The sequence below is a fragment of the Homo sapiens genome, chromosome X (assembly GCF_000001405.40).
Source record: "Homo sapiens chromosome X, GRCh38.p14 Primary Assembly".
Lineage (NCBI taxonomy): Eukaryota > Metazoa > Chordata > Mammalia > Primates > Hominidae > Homo > Homo sapiens.
Genome location: NC_000023.11, coordinates 131155828 through 131178604, shown reverse-complemented (window position 1 = coordinate 131178604; position 22777 = coordinate 131155828). Strand labels below are relative to the sequence as shown.

At 41.0% G+C, this 22777-nt stretch overlaps 1 annotated feature.

The window, feature by feature from the left end:
- Window positions 19903-20632: an enhancer, noted in NCBI's record as "H3K27ac-H3K4me1 hESC enhancer chrX:130291947-130292676 (GRCh37/hg19 assembly coordinates)". NCBI's record gives its function as "activates a minimal SCP1, AML or CMV promoter by ChIP-STARR-seq in naive H9 embryonic stem cells {active_cell/tissue: H9 hESC(naive)}" and the evidence as "EXISTENCE:reporter gene assay evidence [ECO:0000049][PMID:30033119]".

Below are 22777 nucleotides of genomic sequence, written 5' to 3'. Positions count from 1 at the left end.
TCTCTCTCCTCCCAGCCTGCCCCCTGCTCCATTCATACATTCATTCAACAAATACTGCCTACCAATTGAGTGTCAGGCCCTCTGCTAGGCTCTGACAGGCACTGCTGTAGTGCTGATTGCTTTCTCATTCTATTTCCAGTCTCTGTCACTCAACCTCTTCACCCCATCACATACACATGCACTGTTTCTTACATTATTGCTGTGATGTTATACTCCTTTTATCCTTTCCCTTTTTCTGTATCTCCATCTGCCCCAGCCCAGTCAATGACTAACCCACTTCAGATCTGCTCAGCCCACAAGCCCTCAGTTTCTGGCCTCTTATCCCTTTTCTGAGCCCCACCTAGTCCCCAGAGACAGCTCCCCTCCTGGAGGAATTGGCACAGACATCTCAAGGGCAGGTCTGCCCGAAGCCCAGACAAGCAGGTGACTTCCCAGTAGCCCTTCCTGAAGGCCACCTCTTAAACTTCTAGAGTCTCTAGGGAAACACCAGGAACTTCCAGAAAGGTCCTTTCTACTCCCACTTCCCACTTATGTCCCAGATATGCCTTGTCTGACTTGCACCTCCCCATCTGGAATTTCCTGGTTCCCCTGGGAGGTGCTCAAACTATTGTTTTATTCATAGTTTCACTCAACCAAAATTTTGTATGCACTTACTTCTCTCAAGATTTTTTCCATGCATTATCTCATTTAATCCCCAAAACAACCCATGAGGTATTAATATTGTCTCCATTTACCAATGAGGAAACCTAGGCTCAGAGAGATGACATGACTGTCCCAAGGTCTCACATCTAGTGTGTGGCAGAGTAGATTCAGAAATTTGAATCTCCTCCTTACTAAGTATGTCTCTCCTCCAGCCCTCACTCATCAGTGGACACCATGTTATGAAATTGAGTGACAAACACACAGTGGTTAGTGGCTGAAGAAACAATGCCAGTTTTTATGTTCTAGAGATCTTGCATTTACAAATGTCAATCTGATTTCTCTTCTTGAATGCCTTACAAAAATCTCAAACTCAAATATCACAAACTGAACTCAACATTTCCCCAACTCCTCTTATTTCCTCTGCTCAAGCTAGTTCTTTTCTGCTCATATCCCCTGTATTAGCTAATGGCACCATTATCTACCAAGTTCTGTGAGCCAAAATAATACCCATGAGGCCTCCCATGACCTTCTCTCTCCTTTACACGTCCCCAACCTGGTGCCCTCCACACCCGATCCTTAGCCCATTTCTATATCCCCAATGCCAGGCTGTAATTCTGAGCCTTGTTACTTCTTGCTTTCACTTTGGAAAACCTCTCTACTCATGATTTATTTCAAATCTCTTTCATTGGCTTCTGATCATTGATCCAAATGCTTAACGTTAGAGTACCTTGGAGCTCAGTCCTTAGACCATGACTCTATCTTCAGTTGCTCCTTTACGATCTCATCCAGTTTCATGATGTTAAATATAATTGATGAGCCATCAGCTCCCCAGTTTTTAGCTCCAGACTGGATATCTCTCCTAAACTACAGATTCATATATCCAATTGCCTATTGGTTACCTACACCTGGATATCTAATAAACATGTTAAACCTAATATACTCCAAACCAAACTCCAGATCCTCCATAAATTCCAAGGCTGCCTCTATCTCAGGCTTCCCAATTTTGGTAAATGGTGATTTTAGTCTTCTTGTTGCTCAGGTCTTGATCCTTAGAACATAGAAAACATACTCTTGCCACAAGGTATTTCCACTTGCTATTTTCCCCATCTATTTAATAAAATGTTCTTCCATTGGATATGTATTTTATGCACTCCTTCATCTCATTCAAGTCTCTATTCAACTGGCACCTTAGCAGAGATGACTTCCCTGATCACTCTATATAAAATGACAGAACCTCTTCCCCATCACACTCTACCCCTTATTATGCTTTATTTTTCTTCAAAGCATTTATTACTACCTAACAAATTACATATTTGTTTGTTTCTTTGTTTATAATCCATCCCAGTCCTCTAGAATATAAACTCCCTGAGTACAGGGAATTTGATTTGTTCACTGTTATATCTAAAGCACCTAGGAGGATGCCTGGGACATAATAGGTGCTCAATAAATATTTGCTAAATTAATGGATAAATGAAATAAACAAGTGAGTACATAGATAATTATTTATGCTCTGCATTTGTAGGCTTTCAATCACTTGCTGATGTTTCCTCTGCCTGGAATGCCTTTCTCCTACCCATGGAAATTTTACTCCATTCTCCTAAATTCTAGCTCAAATATTGTTTCTTCTATACAACTCCATCCAACTCCCCCCACTCCCAGGCAGAATTAATCTCTGCTCTAACACTATATGCTAGTGCATATAATTCTCTACTGCACTCATTACCTTCTGCCTTAAGTTTGAGTTATCTACATATCAGGCTGATCTCATGCCTAAACATTGAGCTCTTTAAAGTATGGTATTCTCCAAAGTGTCTAGCATAGTGCCTGGAATATTGTTAAATTGAATGGAAGGAAACTAAATGCTTATTATCAAAGTAGACAACTCCAATTAAGGATAATTAGCCTTGAGAATGGCAGTGTTACCAGCAACTCAATTAATGAACTCTAACTGCTCTTCCCAGACATAGACATTAGCTGGTATTCAGCTTTGGGCTGTAACATGTATGGATTTCTTCATTGTTAGCTTTAGGTCTGTGAGCTGTTGCTTCTGCCTGAGCTATGCTAGTGCTTTATATGCCTCCTTCTTGGGGCAGCTGGTATAAACCCTAGGGAGACTGGAGCAGAGGCCACGCTTTCTTCATCAGGCTTGGGGAGGTTCCCTACTGAGAAAGAATGTCTTTCTTCTCAACCTTGGGGTTACTTAGAGTAGGTGGACAATGTCTCCCTAATAAAATTGGGAGATCTTTAGAGTAAGGAGACAATGATTTTTCTGTCATGCTGGGGACATATCAGGGTACCAAAAATTTCTCTGTGCAGACAAGGAACCTGTTGACCATATCTTCCTAAAAATTGAGAGCTTTTTAGAGTAAAGAAATTATGTTTCCTCTATCAGAATTAAGGTTCCACAATGTGAGAGTCTGAACAGCCTATATAGGATGGGAGAACCATCACTTATAATCTCATCAAGTCTCATGGCTTTAAATATCTACATGCTGAAAACTTCCAAACTAGTATCTCCTTCCCAGACCTTTCCACTAAGTTCCAGAACTCTTCATCCACTTATTTAATCAACATATACATTTAGATGTCTAATAGAAATTTCAAACTTGACATGTCCATCAAAAAACAAGCAAACAAACACCTCCTGATCTTTCTCTTCAAAAGTGCCCCTTCTTCAGTTGATGGCAACTTTATTCTTCCACTTGGTCAAGTCAAAACCTTAAAGTCATCCTTGACTCTTCTTTTTCTCTCACATCCACATCTAATCTGTTAGGAAAAACTGCTGTCTCTATGTTCAGTATATTCCCAGTATACAATCATTTCTCACCATCTCCACTACTACCATTCTAAGTCACAACTTTCAATTTTATGTTGAAACAGCCTCTGATTGATAGCCCTGCTTCTGTTGTTGCCTATAAGTTCCTTCTTAACAGAGCAGGTAAATGATCTTTTATTAAAAAATACATAGGCCAAATCATTATACTCCTCTGTTCAAAACAGTACTTTGGATATAAATATTTTTACTGTGGTATGTGATGGTTAATTTTGTGTATCAACTTGATTTGGCTAAGGGATGCCCAGATAGTTTGTCAAACATTATTTCTGGGTGCGTCTATGATGGTGTTTCCAGGAGAGATTGACATTTGAACTGATAGACTGAATAGAGATCACTTTCACCAATACAGTGGGCTCATCCAATCCATTGAAAGCCTGACTGGAACAAAAAGGCAAAGTAAGTGTGAATTTACTTCCTGTTTGATCTGGGACATCCATCTTCTCCTGCCCTCAGACATCAGTGCTCCTAGTTCTCAGGCCTTCAGACTCAGACTGACTTGCATCACTGACTTTCCTGGTTCTCCAGCTTGCAGGTGGTAGATTATGAGACTTCCAGTCTCCACAATTGAGTGAGCCAATTTCTACTCTCACTCTCTCTCTAGGTGGTTTTTTCCTCTGGAGAATCCTGACTAATTAATACATGGTAAAATATATGTAACATAAAATTTACCATTGGTGAATTTTAGTAAATTCACAATGTTATGTCATCATCACCACCATCTAGTTCCAGAACATTTTCATTGCCCTAAAAGGAAAATCGATTCCCATTAAGCAATCACTCCCCATTCCCCATTCTACCCAGAACCTGACATTCACTAATCTTTCTGCCTCCATGGATTTGCCTATTCTAAACATTTCATATAAATGGAACTACATGATATGTAGCCTTTTGTGACTGGTTCCTTTCATTTAGTATGATATTTTCAAGGTTTATCCATATTGTAGCAGTCCTACAATGTACAGGAATTAACTTCATTTCTTTTTATGGTGAAATAATATTCCATTGTATGGATATACTACATTTTATTTATCCAGTTATCTTTTGTTAGACGTTTGAGTTGTTTCTACCTTTTGGCTACTGTAAATTATGCTGCTATGAGCATCCACGTACAAGCATCTATTTTCAGTTCTTTTGCGTATATACCTAAGAGTAGAATTTCTGGGTCATATGGTAAGTGTATCTTTAATTCACTGAGGAACCAACAAACTGTTTTCCATAGTGGCTTGATCTTAATTTCACCGAGAGTAAACTTTCATACAATAACCTAAAAGGCCCTACATGATCTGGCCCATCATATATTAACTTTGTGACCTCATCTCCTCCCAATTTCCCCCTTAATCACTCTGCTTTAGCCATGCTGGCTTTCTTTGCTGTTCGTAAAACTCACCAGGCACACTCCCACCTCAGGACCTTTGTACTTGCTCTCTCCTCTGCCTCAGACACACTTCCCCAGATATCTCTCTGTGATGCTCCTTCATTTCCTCCATGTTTTTTGCTCATATTTCACCTTATCTTTCTAGGCAAAACTGAAACCCTAGTGCCACCCCAGCACTCCTTATCCCCCTCTCATGTTAGTTTGCTAGGACTGCCATAACAAAGTGTTACAAACTATGCAGCTAAGACTATGAAAGTTTATTTTCTCACAGTTCTGGAGACTGAAAGTTTGATATCAAATAGGTTGGTTTTTTCTGAGACCTCTCTCCTTGGATTGTAGATGACTGTCCTCTCCCTGTGTTTTCATATGGTCTTCTTGTGTACATGTTCATGTTCAAATTCTCTTTACTTATAAGGACACCAGTCATATTGGATTAGGCCTGCCCCCAATGACCTCCCTTTAAATTAATTTTTGAAGCCTTTATCTCCATATATAGTCACAATCTGAAGTACGGGAAATTGGGACTTCAACATATGAATTTTTGAGGGACACAATTCAATTCGTAACACATGCTTATATTTTTCATTTCATATTTTTCCTTAGCATTTATCTTTATCAAACATACTATATGTTTTACTTACATATGGCATTTACTGTTTATTGTCTTTCTCCTTCACTAAAATGTAAGCTCAATTAAATCAGCTACCTATGTCTATTTAGCTCATCAACATATCCCAAATGCTTAGAACAGTGCCTGGAACACAGTGGGGCCCTCAATAGATATAACTTGGATGAATAGCTATTTCCTTCTCCAGACTGGGGGTTGCTGAAGACTGAGACTCCTTAGAGTATAAAAGCTATCTCTCCTTTTTCAACCAGGCCTTACATCGTTGTTGGAAACCACATATCCTCCTGACTGGGCTGTGATTCTTGTCTCATTAATTACCAAGAGTAGTGTGTTTTGCTAAATATGAAATCACTCATTGTAAGTCCAATGCTAAAAGAAAAAAATCAATGCCTGGTGAATAAATTCTCTTTAATGGGAGTCATGTTAACAAAACTGTAGATTTATTACCTAAGCATCTACCCTCCCTGCTTTGATACTGAGCTTCTGATGTTAATTTGATTCATTTATCTCTTACCAATGTACAAAGACTGCTGAGCTGAGGAACATTTTGGGGCAGTGTAAAATGTGTTGGACAAAAACTAAATAAAAATGAAATCTGTGTCCCACACCCCCAACTTGTTTCTACTATTTTGTGCAACCTTGGGCATACTGCTTCTCCTCTGAGGGACTCAGTTTTCTTACATGCAAAATGAGAGAGTAGGAAAAAATTTCTTCCATGTTCCTAGTCTTACTGGCTGCCACCATCATTTACCCAGTTCCTTAGGCCAAAATCCTTACAGTAACCCTGGATTTTGGTTTTTGCCCTCACCCTTCATCCATCAATGAGTCCTATCATGTCCTGTCCATTCTGTATCCCCCAAATATATCTCCCATCACATATATATCCTCCATCTCCACTACTACTACTCTGGTGTAAGCCAACTTCATCTCTAGCCTCAACTACTGCAAGTATCTCTTATCTGATGTGCCTGCCCTAGTCCTTTTAAAACATCACATCCAAATATATCATTGTCCATTTTAAAATCAGTCAATTGTCCCTATTACTCTCAGGAAAAAAAAGTCCCATAATCTAGAGTCTACAAACTCTCGTGACTTGGTTCCTGCCAAACTCTCTAGCTTCTTCCCTATCCCTCGTGCTTCAGCCCTAAGGTACCCTGGACACTAGGATCTTGCTTAGGCACCATAGCCTGGATGTGGACTCCCACCCATAACTCTTATCAGCAACACACCCATGCCTCTCCTTTTCATAACACCAACACCCACTCATCTGCCAAAACTCACCTCAGGTGACATCTCATGAAGAAATTTTTCCCTTTATTCCTACTTTGAACCAATTGCCTCTGATTTGTGCTTCCACAGAATCCTGCATCCAACTATAACAGGACTACCTCTTTGCATTGTAACTATTTGGTCACCATTCTCCCCGATGAGACTATCAACTTCTCAAAAGCAGGAATAATATCTTGTTCATCTTGGTATTTCCAGTGCCGAGCCCTAGTTACTTACACAGAGTAGACACTCAGAAAGTAAACTGGAAAAACCCCAAAGTTCCCTTCCAGGATAAGTGGATAGATCCATAAACTAATAAATTTGACCAAATCATAAAACTTTGGTTCAAGCCCCCATTGAGTCTTTTATTAACTGTGTAACTGAACTGCACCTGTGTTGGATAGACACTAATTAATAATATTTAGTGGGTTTGTACTATGTGCCAGACACACTGTGTTGGGTGCCTTGCCCAAAACATCTCATTTAATCCTTACAAACAACCCACTGAGATAGATATTATCATCTTTACTGTTTAAGAGATGAAGAAACAGACTTCGTGCTGACAAGCAAACTGATCAAGGTCACAGAAATTGGGATATGGAGTGCTGAGGAGTCTCTACAAAGATGTAAAGAGGCACAAAGTCATCTTGCCTCCAAGTTGGGAGTATTGGTGGTAAAATATCAATAACAAGTTGTGACATCTGGAGTGGAGTGGGCAATAGCTACAGTGGACACATGAAGCTTTGATGTCTGGCAGCCAGCCCTGGTACTGCTAGGGCAAATCTGCTAAAAACTTGAGGAAAGTGTTAGAATGGGTGAGGGAAAGCAAGAAGGAGTTTTATATTCCTACTATGGCTTATTTTCTGACTCACAGCTTTAGGTTATTGGGTGATAGGGCATCAGCTTATAGTTCTGCCTCCTTTTCCTTTTCTTCCTTAGGAGAATGTAGGAGAATGTGTGTGTGTGCATGCGTGTGTGTGTGTTTGTACTTGGTGGTGGGAGGAAATAGGTATTGTTAGTTGAGTCTAACTATATATTAAATGTATTTGTGGCCCATGGTTGGAGTTATTCTTCTTTGCATTAGCTACCAATTGCCTCTCTCCTGCCCCTTCCTTGGCTCCCCTGAATCACTGAACTTCTTGGGCACCATGTTCTCCAAAGCCACAAGGAGCCTCTGGAAGAGGCCATCTCCAGTTTTTCCTTCCCCCGAATGTCTCAGGGTTTCTAGCATGAAGTAAGAGCCATCAACTCTAGGACCTGGCAGAGATTCACAAGAAAAATCTGCCACTGGTATCTGATTTGGGGCTGAGAATATCTTGAGGGGATCATTCTCTATAGTACCCTGGGATGAAACTCCAAGACAAAAGGAAAATTGTGGACCTCTGATAACAACAGTTTGTAGAATAAGACCCTTTCTTTAGGAAGACACAGCTTAAAGCTCCTCATCAGAATGTCTGATGTATCAAGCAGAATGCAAGGGGGGATCTTTTAGCCAGGCACCCTTATACAGAGAAAAACTTGCGCAACTGTTTGTAATGGATCTCATCCCCACAAAGGCTCCTCACCATTTCACAGAAATCTGGCTATTTTCTTATTTTTGTGCCTTTATTCCCTCTGCCCAGAATGACTTTCCTCCTCTGCTCAGCCTATCAAACTTCTACTTATCAATTAAACCTTCACTCAAGTGTCTTCTCCTTTGTGAATACTTCCTTGACTTTCAGACAGCTGAACAACTTATTCTTCCCTTGGAGTCTCATGGCATTGTGTTTAGACTTGTGTATTATCACTTTTCATACTATTTTCGATCAATATTCTGTCTGCCCTGCTAGATCTCACTCAGTCTATTCAAGGGAAGGTACCCTGGCTAATTCAACTGTGTATCTTATCCCAGCACCCAGTGCCACTCTCTCAGTCCCACCACTACTTGAATTTGGCACAGTGCCTGGAACACTGTGGACACTCAGCAAATAAGAAACTTTGAATAAGTGTAGGATAATGTGAGGGGTACTCAGTGTCATATGATCGGGCATAGAAATAAAAATATGCCAAATAGATCCTTGGATAGGCCCTCTGATATAGCAAGTTTATCCCATCTCTGGCTGATGGAGTCAAATCCTCACAAGTCCCAGAATTACCCTTTCAGCCAGCACTGAACAACTTTTTTGATTTAGCTTTTGAATAAGTAATCCAATTCCACCTAGGGCATCATTTCCTGACATTCAGATCCCTGTTGCCATATTCCCTCTTGGCCTATAGTTAATAAATACATTTCCTTCTTTTCCTGAGAGTGGAGCCAATCCTCGGGCCTCATCATGATTGGGAATGCTTCATGCTGATGCCTTGTGGAGGTGATGTTTGGGCCTGGGTCACCTTGGAAATGTCTTCCCTTCTTGCTATGTTCTGAGCTCATTGCTGTGGAGGTAGAATCAGTCTTAAGGTGCTCAAGATGCCTGGAAGGCTGTACATGGCAGAAAGATGACTGACTTTCCTGTTCTCCAGCCCCTTCCTCCCAGGGCCATTGTCCATTCACAGTTAAAAATGTATATGGGAGAAACAACTCTATCTGCTCATTATGATCAAGGCCAATTAGCCTTGCCAGTATGTTAACTCCTTTCTTTACCTGCTGCTCCAGTGGCACAAGAAACCTCAAATTACCAGGTGGCAGCCATAACTTTAAGTTTAGTAGGAATCTTATAGTGTTCCCTAGCGGAAGCATCTACTTTCTGGAAACCAGGACATCTAGAACCACAGAACTTAAAGTTTTCAAATGAGTCCCTGGGAATGATGGTGAATGGGGTCACTCCAATGTCCACTCATTTTCTGCCAGGTCTGTGTATTCTACCTATTTATGGTAGAGTGTCATATAATGACTGCTGGTTTAAGACATACATTGCCTCATGAAGAACAAAGCCCTCAAATCACAGGCATCATTTCCAAGATACTGCTTTATATGTGCCTTTAAGAGACCATGTCAGTACTCCACTAAGGCTGGCAGCTTCTGGGTATGCGGTATATTGTAGAACAAGTGGATCCCATGGTTATAAAATTATTGTTATGACTGCTTTGATATAAAGTGAATCAATTAATGTGAGATAATATTATATCGAACCTCATGTCAGTAAGTCAGATTTTCTATAAGAATATAGATAGTAGAGTGGGTTGAAGCACTGCAGGTAGAAAAGACAAATCCACACCCAGAATACAAGTAAATCGAAGTTCTGATAAATCATTGTCCCTTCTGAAGCAAGATAAAATCAACTTTCCATCAAGTAGTTGGTTTTTCTCTTTGAGAAACAGTACCATATTGAAGATTAAGCATTAGTCTCCAGTGCTGAAAGATCAAAAAGATATTTATTAAAGATACTAAGTGATAGTAGCTAATCAGCTTTGGTGAAAGGAAGCCCAAATGTTAGTCCAATACATAGCCTCTGTCTCGCATACCATGATTACTACATTCATAGGTATATCATGTAAGTGCTTGTATGACAAACACAGATGCTGACATCTACTGAACGAATAATTCTGTTGACCCATTGTTTAGTACTTTTCGTTTTGTGGATGATCTTTCATGGGCATTACTGTGAGATGTAAAGATCCTCACATTTGGTGCCAACTCCTATAGGTTTAACTGTATGCCTCTTCTTTGCCTTAATCATTCAATCCTGCTTCTCCTAAGACCTTGCCCAATCAGACAAACTATTTACCACTGTCCAGAAGTTCATGTATGACTAACAAGAGCCATTTATGTCTTCACCCAGAGTGGATGATTGACCAGCTTTGCATACTTGAAAAACTTCAATTACTACTGCATTTTTAGAGTTACCTCTGAGTGAGGATGTAGTTTAGCTGCCTCTGTCAACTCGTCATAGAGAATGCCCCCATGAACCCATAGGTGTGAGCTGAGAAAGAGATAGGCCTTATTGCAACAATGAGAACTGGGCCACTGGTTCATGTAACTCACTCATACCCACTGGACATAGTCAGATCTAATTCCAAATATACCATGAATTGCTGCTGTGATTGACCAACTTATGACCTCGTGTGTCTGACAGAACCCAGTTTATATACAAGCTCTGAATGCATAGTCAATTGATGTCCCATGGACACTCACTCATTCTCTACCAGGACCTAATAGCATATCTGGAGCTTCTTTTTGAAGTGTGTCCCTTTCTTTGCTGCAGAAAATATGACTTGCTTCAAAACCCTAGGGATTTATGCCTCAACTCTTCTGTTGGGATTCACCCAAGACTCCATCTGGCATCTGTATCTACTGCAAATATCCTCAGCTCCATGAAATTTGCCAGGTTGTTTATCTCAAGCAGTCATGCCATTTGTACTATAGCCTGGATATTCCTCAATGCCCTTTCTTGTTTATAACCCCAATTAAAACTGGAAGATTTCAAAGTAATCTCAAAAATGAGTCAAGCTAGTATTCCCAATTGCAGTATATGCAGTCTCCAAAATCCAAAAAGACCTACAAAGCACTGTGCTATGTTCTCAATAGTAGGAGAGTCAAGGTGTAATAAAGTGCCCTTTTCATGGAAAGGACATACTGGCATGACCTAAATATTATGTTGGTGCAAAAGTAATTGTCATTTTTTGCCATTCAAAGAAACGTAAGTGAATCCTGCAAAATTTCACCAATGTGACAAATCTCTGCATCCTTATAAGGTTTATTTTCTACCCTCTGGAGCTCGCGAATCCAGAGTACTTGCCACTTTCTCTTTATCAGAGCCAATTAAATTGATGTTATCAATATAGTGGACCATCATGATATCCTATAGAATTTTCAGACGATCGTATTCTCTTTGTACTGTATTATAACAAATGGCAGGAGAGTTAAAATAGACCTGAATCAAAAGCATAAAGGTATACTACTGCCTATTTGGGTGAATATGAACAACTTCTCCTCCTCTTTCCAGATGAAGATTTAAACAAATCTTTTAGCCCCATCAAATCCACCTACCAAATACCAGATGCTGCATTGATAATAATCCATTATAGTAAAAAAACCATATCTGGCATACAAGCTTTAGTCAGGACTATTACTTGTTTAAGTTTGTGTTAGTTCATCATAATCTACCATGGTACATCTATTTTTTTCACAGTGAATGAAGACATAATGTGGATTATCAGCCCTGCTCCCTTAAGTCTTTGGGATTGTCACTAATCTCTACCATTCCACTTAAAATGTGGTATCGTTTTTTATTTACCACCTTGTTCTGGGGAAGGTACCACTTTCATAATGTTCATGTGTGATTTTCTACCATAATAGCTCTTAATTCATGGGTCCTGGAACCAAAAGTCAGGTTTCTTCCACATGCTAAGTATGTCCTTCTGCTTAAGCAATCAGAAATTCCCACTGAGTCTTTGGACCCATTGGACCCACTGTAAGATGGACCAAGGCAAGAACTGAATTCCACAAGGACCTATTTTAGTGTTGGGGGTGGGTGTTATTGTGCTTTAGGTTCCTTAATATCAGCATCTGCTTAAACTCTGTATCCAACAGCCCTTAAAAGATATGGGCAATCCCCTTTTTCTTAGTGTTCGCTTATATTTATAAATGTTAATAAGTCCCTTTTGGGGAAGAACTGATAGAATCACTACTGTATATGCTTGCTTTTGCATTGCAAGATCTTTCTTCAAGCGTACTCAATTTCTCTTTCGATTGATGACTTCTGAGGCTAACAACTGGCTCAGGCATGAAAACAAGGCAAAATATTTTGACCCTTCATTGGGGTAGTGTAGATTAACTTCTATTCATCCACTTATGATTATAAATTATATATGTCAAGCAAACAACACTCTCATTGGCCAACTGTGTATCTTGCTTCTAGGAACACCATGATCTATTAGTCATCACCATACATTCCTGCATGACAGGACACTTTGGTTGCCACTTGACCATTACAATAATTGTGTTCACCTGGCTTCTGGCGATTGTGTGCTGCCATCTGACCTCTGTTCTTCTGGAATCTTATCATTTCCACAGAAACTAGAAAGCTCAATTCTATAACCTAATCTCCTACAGTCAGCTCCAGCCTAGCAGAGCAGAGATCATTTACTTCTGAGCTTCTAAAATATTTTGGAACTGCCCCTTATTATTGCACTTCTTTTCACCTTAGTCAAGGGAGTGTACTCTGAGCCTTCCCAAAAATAGTCCTCTGGTGGGACCTCAGGTTTTATGAAATAGATCCATTCTAACATGCCCACTTCTGAGAGCATTTTTATCCCCATTTTTTAACACTCTGACAAAGCAGTTCAAGCATCTCATTTCATTTAATGCGATTCACATTTTCCCCCAAATTTCCAGGAGTCATCTCAGTCATTTTAACTAATAGGCTTGGCTCCAGGTACCCTTACAAGATATGTTAAATATTGAGTCACAGTAGAATGCTCACATATAGAAAACAAATTTTAAAAGTGTTTTCTCTTATCCAGCTTTATATTTCACTTTTCTTTAATCAAGTTAGCTTCAAGATACATATGCAGGCATGTTACCCCAGTTCCTGATAACACATATTATTAGATTCTGTAGCTCCTTTGATTAATAACACATTTCCTCCATTAGTAAAGCCAGACCTTCCCCAGATTGGTCACGCTAACTTGACCTAGTTATTGGTCCAATGGCCAGAAAGAAATGTTGGGGTAGATCTTGAGAAGGGCAAGTATTGGCTTGCAAGGCATCTACTTCAGTTAAAATCTCTACTTAGCCTTCAGACAGGAGAGTGCTGTTATCTACTAGCAATAAGGAATGGACTATTTATTGCAGGACCACAATGTTTTGGAGAATAAAAAGGTTCCATATTTCGTCAGTGGGTAAACTTAGGTGACCCCAACCCAAGCCTCAGATTGTGAGTCATTCCCTGTCAGAGCCATAATTTTTGTGTACGGGTCTTAGTCTTATGGAGGCTATGAATTTCACCTTCTCTGACACTCTTCTACTTTTAAAAATCAGGTCTTCAGGGTGGCTGGCAAGATGGCCGAATAGGAACGGCTCCGGTCTGCAGTTCACAGCGAGATCAACGCAAAAGGCGGGTGATTTCTGCATTTCCAACTGAGGTACCTGGCTCTTCTCATTGGGACTGGTTAGACAGTGGGTGCAGCCCATGGAGAGCTAGCCAAAGCAGGGTGGTGCGTCACCTCACTCAGGAAGCACAAGGGGTCGGGGAACTCCTTCCCCTAGCCAAGGAAAACCATAAGGGACTGTGCCCTGAGGAATGGTGCATTCCAGCCCAGATGCTATGCTTTTCCCATGGTCTTCACAACCTGCAGATCAGGAGATTCCCTCAGGTGCCTACGCCACCATGGCCCAGGATTTCAAGCATAAAACTGGGCAGCTGTTTGGGCAGACACCAAGCTAGCTGCAGGAGTTTTTTTGTTTGTTTGCTGTTTTTTATACCCCAGTGGCACCTGTAACGCCAGCGAGATAACTGTTCACTCCCCTGCAAAGGGGGCTGAAGCCAGGGAGCCAAATGGTCTAGCTCAACAGATCCTACCCCCAAGGAGCCCAGCAAGCTAAGATCCACTGGCTCAAAATTCTTGCTGCCAGTACAGCAGTCTGAAGTTGACCAGAGACACTCGAGCTTGGTGGGGGGAAGGACATCCACCATTACTGAGACTTGAGTAGGCGATTTTCCCCTCACAGTGTAAACAAAGCCACCAAGAAGTTCAAACTGGGCGGAGCCCACCGCAGCTGGGCAACGCCACTGTAGTCAGACTGCCTCTCTAGATTTCTCCTCTCTGGGCAGGGTATCTCTGAAAGAAAGACAGCAGCCCCAGTCAGGGGCTTATAGACAAAACTCCCATCTCCCTGGGACAGAGCACCTGGGGGAAGGGGCAGCTGTGGGCACAGCTTCAGCAGACTTAAATGTTCCTGCCTGCTGGCTCTGAAGAGAGCAGCGGAACACCCAGCACAGCGTTTGAGCTCTGCTAAGGGACAGACTGCCTCCTCAAGTGAGTCCCTGACCCCCGTGCATCCTGACTGGGAGACACTTCCCAGCAGGGGTTGACAGACACCTCATACAGGAGAGCTCAGGCTGGCATCTGGCGGGTGCCCCTGTGGGACAAAGCTTCCAGAGGAAGGAAGAGACAGCAATTTTTGCAGTTCTGCAGCCTCTGCTGGTAATACTCAGGCAAACAGTGTCTGGAGTGGACCTCCAGCAAACTCCAGCAGACCTGCAGCAGAGGGGCCTGACTGTTAGAAGGAAAACTAACAAACAGAAAGGAATAGCATCAACATCAACAAAAAGGATGCCCAAACAGAAATCCCATCTGAAGGTCACCAACATCAAAGACCAAAGGAAGAGAAATCCACGAAGATGAGAAAAAACAAGCACAAAAAGGCTGAAATTTTCAAAAATCAGAATGCCTCTTCTCCAAAGGATCACAACTCCTCGCCAGCAAGGAAACAAAACTAGACAGAGAATGAGTTTGACGAATTAAAAGAAGTAGGGTTCAGAAGGTGGGTAATAACAAACTCCTCTGAGCTAAAGGAGCATGTACTAATCCAATGCAAGGAAGCTAAAAATCTTGAAAAAAGGTTAGAGGAATTGCTAACTAGAATAAACAGTTTAGAGAAGAACATAAATGACCTGATGGAGCTGAAATCACAGCATGAGAACTTCATGAAACATACACAAGTATCAACAGCCGAATTGATCAAGTGGAGGAAAGGATATCACAGATTAAAGATCAACTTAATGAAACAAAGTGTGAAGACAAGATTAGAGAAAAAAGAATAAAAATGAATGAACAAAGCCTACAAGAAATATGGGACTATGTGAAAAGACCAAACCTACATTTGATTGGTGTACCTGAAAGTGACAGGGTGAATGGAACCAAGTTGGAAAACACTCTTCAGGATGTTATCCAGGAAAACTTCCCAACCTAGCAAGACAGGCCAACATTCAAATTCAGGAAATACAGAGAACACCACAAATATACCCCTCGAGAAGAGCAACCCCAAGACACATAATCGTCAGATTCACCAAGGTTGAAATGAAGGAAAAAATGTTAAAGGCAGCCAGAAAGAAAGGTCTCGTTACCCACAAAGGGAAGCCCATCAGACTAACAGCAGATCTCTCGGCAGAAACCATACAAGCCAGAAGAGAGTGGAGGCCGACATTCAACATTGTTAAAGAAAAGAATTTTCAACACAGAATTTCATATCCAGCCAAATTAAGCTTCATAAGGGGAAATAAAATCCTTTACAGACAAGCAAATGCTGAGAGATTTTGTCACCAGTAGCCCTGCCTTACAAGAGCTCCTGAAGGAAGCACTAATTATGGAAAGGAAAAACCAGTACCGGTCACTGCAAAAACATACCAAATTGTAAAGACCATCAATACTATGAAGAAACTGCATCAACTAACAGGCAAAATAACCAGCTAGCATCATAATGACAGGATCAAATTCACACATAACAGTAACAATATTAACCTTAAATGTAAATGGGCTAAATGTCACAATTAAAAGACACAAACTGGCAAATTGGATAAAGAGTCAGGACGCATCAGCGTGCTGTATTCAGGAGACCCATCTCACATGCAAAGACATACATAGGCTCAAAATTAAGAAATTGAGCAACATTTACCATGCAAATGGAAAGCAAAAAAAAGCAGGGGTTGCAATCCTAGTCTCTGACAAAACAGGCTTTAAAGCAACAAAGATCAAAAAAGGCAAAGAAGGGCATTACATAATGGTAAAGGGATCAACGCAACAAGAAAAGCTAACTATCCTAAATATATATGCACCCAATACAAGAACATCCAGATTCATAAAGCAAGTTCTTAGAGACCTACAAAGAGATTCAGACTCCCAAACAATAATAGTGGGAGACTTTAACACCCCACTGTCAATATTAGACAGATCAACAAGACAGAACATTAACAAGGATATTCAGGACTTGAACTCAGCTTTGGACCAAGTGGACTTAATAGACATCTACAGAACTCTCCACCCCAAATCAACAGCATATACATTCTTTTCAGCACCACATCACACTTATTCTAAAACTGACCACATAATTGGAAGGAAAACACTCCTTAGCAAATGCAAAAGAACAGAAATCATAACAAACAGTCTCTCAGACCACAGTGCAATCAAATTAGAACTCAGGATTAAGAAAACTCACTCAAAACCACACAACTACATGGAAACTGAACAACCTGCTCCTGAATGACTACTGGGTAAATAACAAAATTAAGGCAGGAATAAATGAGTTATTTGAAACCAATGAGAACAAAGACACAATGTACCAGAATCTCTGGGACACAGCTAAAGCAGTGTTTAGAGGGAAATTGATAGCACTGAATGCCCACAAGAGAAAGAGGAAAAATCTAAAATTGACACCCTAACATCACAATTAAAAGAACTAGAGAAGCAGGAGCAAACACATTCAAAAGCTAGCAGAAGACAAGAAATAACTAAAATTGGAGCAGAACTGAAGGAGATAGAGACACAAAAAACCTTTCAAAACTCAATGAATCCAGGAGCTGGTTTTTTGAAAAGATCAACAAAATAGATAGACTGCTAGCAAGACTAATAAAGAAGAAAAGAGAGAAGAATCACACAGACACAATAAAAAATGATAAAGGGGATATCACCACTGATCCCACAGAAATACAAACTACCATCGGAGAATAGTATAAACACCTCTACTCAAATAAACTGGAAAATCTAGAAGAAATGGATAAATTCCTGGACACATACACCCTCCCAAGACTAAGCCAGAAAGAAGTCGAATCAAATCCCTGAATAGACCAATAACAAGTTCTGAAATTGAAGCAGTAATTAATAGCCTACCAACCAAAAAAAGCCCAGGACCAGATGGATTCACAGCCGAATTCTACCAGAGGTACAAAGACAAATTCCTTATGAAACTAATCCAAACAATAGAAAAAGAGGGACTCCTCCCTAACTCATTTTATGAGGCCAGCATCATGCTGATATCAAAACCTGGCATAGACACAACAAAAAAAGAAAATTTCAGGCCAGTATCCCTGATAAACACAGATGTGAAAATCCTCAATAAAATACTAGCAAACTGAATCCAGTGCACATCAAAAAGCTTATCCACCACGATGAAGTTGGCTGCATCCCTGGGATGCAAGGCTGGTTCAACATACACAAATCAATAAACATAATCCATCACATAAACAGAACCAATGACAAAAACCACATGATTATCTCAATAGATGCAGAAAAGGCCTTCGATAACATTCAACACCTCTTCATGCTAAAACTCTCAATAAGCTAGTTATTGATGGAACGTATCTCAAAATAATAAGAGCTATTTATGACAAACCCACAACCAATATCATATTGAATGGGCAAAAGCTGGAAGCATTCCCTTTGAAAACTGGCACAAGACAAGGATGCCCTCTCTCACCACTCCTATTCAACATAGTATTGGAAGTTCTGGCCAGGGCAATCAGGCAAGCAAAAGAAATAAAGGGTACTCAAATAGGAAGAGAGGAAGTCAAATTGTCTCTGTTTGCAGATGACATGATTATATATTTAGAAAACCCCATCATCTCATCCCAAAATCTCCTTAAGCTGATAAGCAACTTCAGCAAAGTCTCAGGATACAAAATCAATGTGCAAAAATCACAGGCACTGCTATACACCAATAGTAGACAAACAGAAAGCCAAATCATGAGTGAACTCCCATTCACAATTGCTACAAAGAGAATAAAATACCTAGGAATACAACTCACAAGGGATATGAAAGACCTCTTCAAGGAGAACTACAAACCACTGCTCAAGGAAATAAAAGAGGACGCAAATAAATGGAAAAACATTCCATGCTCATGGATAGGAACAATCAATATTGTGAAAATGGCCATACTGCCCAAAGTAATTTATAGATTCAATTCTATCCCCATTAAGCTATCATTGACTTTCTTCACAGAATTAGAAAAAACTACTTTAAATTTCATATGGAACCAAAAAAGAACCCGTATAGCCAAGACAATCCTAAGCAAAAAGAACAAAGCTGGAGGCATCATGCTACCTGATTTCTATAGGCTACAAGTAACCAAAAAAGCAGGGTACTGGTACCAAAACAGATATATAGATGAATGGAACAGAACAGAGGCCTCAGAAATAATGCCACACATCTACAACCATCTGATCTTTGACAAACGTGACAAAAACAAGCAATGGGGAAAGGATTCCCTATTTAATAAATGGTGTTGGGAAAACTGGCTAGCTATATGCAGAAAACTGAAACTGAACCTCTTCCTTATACCTTATACAAAAATTAACTTAACATGGATTATAGACTTAAACATAAGACCTGCACATTCTACACATGTATCCCAGAACTTAAAGTATAATAATAATTAAAAAATCAGGTCTTCAGTATGGTTTCCATTCTCAATGCAGGAGGAGGGTCTCTTTATACGCTGCTATGGAGGTCTTCTAAGTTGTACACAGTGGATTAAGTTGGTAATTGGCTGACTTGAGGCTGTCATTTCCTCCCTTCAACACATCAGTGTTGCCCAGAAACAACAAATTCCACAGTCCATTTCCCTGCTATGTCTCAAAATGCTACAGATATCACATAGGGCACAGCATCTTCTTCTACATTTGAATCCATTCCAACTAACAACAGATGAAAGTTTAGCAATTATAATGCAGCAAGAAATCACTGTTGCACTGTAGCTGACAACTGATACAATTCCAGAATTACATCGTTAGAGTCCGCTTCTAGGATCATTTTTGGTCAACTATCCTAGGAAAGTTTCCTCAGAAGCAGGCCCTCAGACACATGCAAATCATATACTAGGTAGTGCCCCCAAAGAGAACTGACAGGAGATTGGGGAAGCAAGACAAGGATGGAGCAGAAGTCAAGCAAGGGCATGATAATAGACAAAGTCCCCCAAATGTAGCTACAGTCTGATTCCACAGGGGAACTTTGGAGTATATTGTGTCCCAGAGTTGTTCTGGTGTGAGGCAAGAGATCTGGGACTTTCATATTCCCTCATTCATTATTCATTGTTTAAGATCCAAGAGGGACCTAAATGTCCTGGCACTTCTGGCTCTCCATGCAGGTGGATAAAGGGGTTCTGAGATCCAAGAACAGTCACCTGCAAAAGAAACGCAAGTGCTTATTGCTGGAACAAATGCTCACCCAAATCACAGAAGACACAAAGAAAGATCTGAGTAGATCTAGTTGAAGCACTAACATTGTTCACCACAAATGGTGATCTTGGAAAACAGCATTCTATTGGCATGGAAATGTAGAGGTTGAATGACACTGTCTAAGGCAGAGGTGGGTAGTAAGGAAGTAAAAGAAGTAGATATAAATCACTCCAAAAGTGTGGTGGTAAATAGAAGGCTAGATTATTTACTCAGACCTGACTTTGTGTCAGACACGGAGTTGGGGCCTGAGAAAAGAAAGAAAAACAAAATATAGACCTACATTTGGGAGCACAAAACCTATTTGGAGCAGCTAAAGCAGTTACACTACCATATGTTAAGGCCTATTATAAAGGTATAATAATTAATATAGTGTGCCAGGATTGATAAATACACCAAGAAAGAGAATACAGGGGGGAGGAGTCAAGATGGCAGAATAGGAACAGCTCCGGTCTACAGCTCCCAGCGTGAGCGAGGCAGAAGACAGGTGATTTCTGCATTTCCATCTGAGGTACCAGGTTCATCTCACTAGGGAGTGCCAGACAGTGGGCGCAGGTCAGTGGGTGCGTGCACCATGCGCGAGCCGAAGCAGGGCGAGGCATTGCCTCACTTGGGAAGTGCAAGGGGTCAGGGAGTTCCCTTTCCGAGTCAAAGAAAGGGGTGACGGACGCACCTGGAAAATCGGGTCACTCCCACCTGAATACTGCGCTTTTCCGACGGGCTTAAAAAACTGCGCACCACGAGAGTCTGTCCCGCACCTGGCTCGGAGGGTCCTACGCCCACGGAGTCTCACTGATTGCTAGCACAGCAGTCTGAGATCAAACTGCAAGGCAGCAGCGAGGCTGGGGGAGGGGCGCCCGACATTGCCCAGGCTTGATTAGGTAAGCAAAGCAGCTGGGAAGCTCGAACTGGGTGGAGCCCACCACAGCTCAAGGAGGCCTGCCTGCCTCTGTAGGCTCCACCTCTGGGGGCAGGGCACAGACAAACAAAAAGACAGCAGTAACCTCTGCAGACTTAAATGTCCCTGTCTGACAGCTTTGAAGAGAGCAGTGGTTCTCCTAGCACGCAGCTGGAGATCTGAGAACGGGCAGACTGCCTCCTGAACTGGGTCCCTGACCCCTGACCCCCGAGCAGCCTAACTGGGAGGCACCCCCCACCAGGGGCACACTGACACCTCACACGGCAGGGTATTCCAACAGACCTGCAGCTGAGGGTCCTCTCTGTTAGAAGGAAAACTAACAAACAGAAAGGACATCCACACCAAAAACCCATCTGTACATCACCATCATCAAAGACCAAAAGTAGATAAAACCACAAAGATGGGGAAAAAACAGAACAGAAAAACTGGAAACTCTAAAAAGTAGAGCGCCTCTCCTCCTCCAAAGGAACGCAGTTCCTCACCAGCAACGGAACAAAGCTGGACAGAGAATGACTTTGACGAGCTGAGAGAAAAAGGCTTCAGACGATCAAATTACTCTGAGCTACAGGAGGACATTTAAACCAAAGGCAAAGAAGTTGAAAACTTTGAAAAAAATTTAGAAGAATGTATAACTAGAATAATCAATAGAGAGAAGTGCTTAAAGGAGCTGATGGAGCTGAAAACCAAGGCTCGAGAGCTACGTGAAGAATGCAGAAGCCTCAGGAGCCGATGCGATCAACTGGAAGAAAGGGTATCAGCGATGGAAGATGAAATGAACGAAATGAAGCGAGAAGGGAAGTTTAGAGAAAAAAAGAATAAAAAGAAATGAGCAAAGCCTCCAAGAAATATGGGACTATGTGAAAAGACCAAATCTACATCTGACTGGTGTACCTGAAAGTGACGGGGAGAATGGAACCAAGTTGGAAAACACTCTGCAGGATATTATCCAGGAGAACTTCCCCAATCTAGCAAGGCAGGCCAATGTTCAGATTCAGGAAATACAGAGAACGCCACAAAGATACTCCTCGAGAAGAGCAACTCCAAGACACATAATTGTCAGATTCACCAAAGTTGAAATGAAGGAAAAAATGTTAAGGGCAGCCAGAGAGAAAGGTCGGGTTACCCTCAAAGGGAAGCCCATCAGACTAACAGCAGATCTCTTGGCAGAAACCCTACAAGCCAGAAGAGAGTGGGGGCCAATATTCAACATTCTTAAAGAAAAGAATTTTCAACCCAGAATTTCCTATCCAGCCAAACTAAGCTTCATAAGTGAAGGAGAAATAAAATACTTTACAGACAAGCAAATGCTGAGAGATTTTGTCACCACCAGGCCTGCCCTAAAAGAGCTCCTGAAGGAAGCACTAAACATGGAAAGGAACAACCGGTACCAGCTGCGGCAAAATCATGCCAAAATGTAAAGACCATCGAGACTAGGAAGAAACTACATCAACTAACGAGCAAAATAACCAACTAACATCATCATGACAGGATCAAATTCACACATAACAATATTAACTTTAAATGTAAATGGACTAAATATTCCAATTAAAAGACACAGACTGGCAAATTGGATAGAGTCAAGACCCATCAATGTGCTGTATTCAGGAAACCCATCTCACGTGCAGAGACACACATAGGCTCAAAATAAAAGGATGGAGGAAGATCTACCAAGCCAATGGAAAACAAAAAAAGGCAGGGGTTGCAATCCTAGTCTCTGATAAAACAGACTTTCAACCAACAAAGATCAAAAGAGACAAAGAAGGCCATTACATAATGGTAAAGGGATCAATTCAACAAGAATAGCTAACTATCCTAAATATATATGCACCCAATACAGGAGCACCCAGATTCATAAAGCAAGTCCTGAGTGACCTACAAAGAGACTTAGACTCCCACACATTAATAATGGGAGACTTTAACACCCCACTGTCAACATTAGACAGATCAACGAGACAGAAAGTC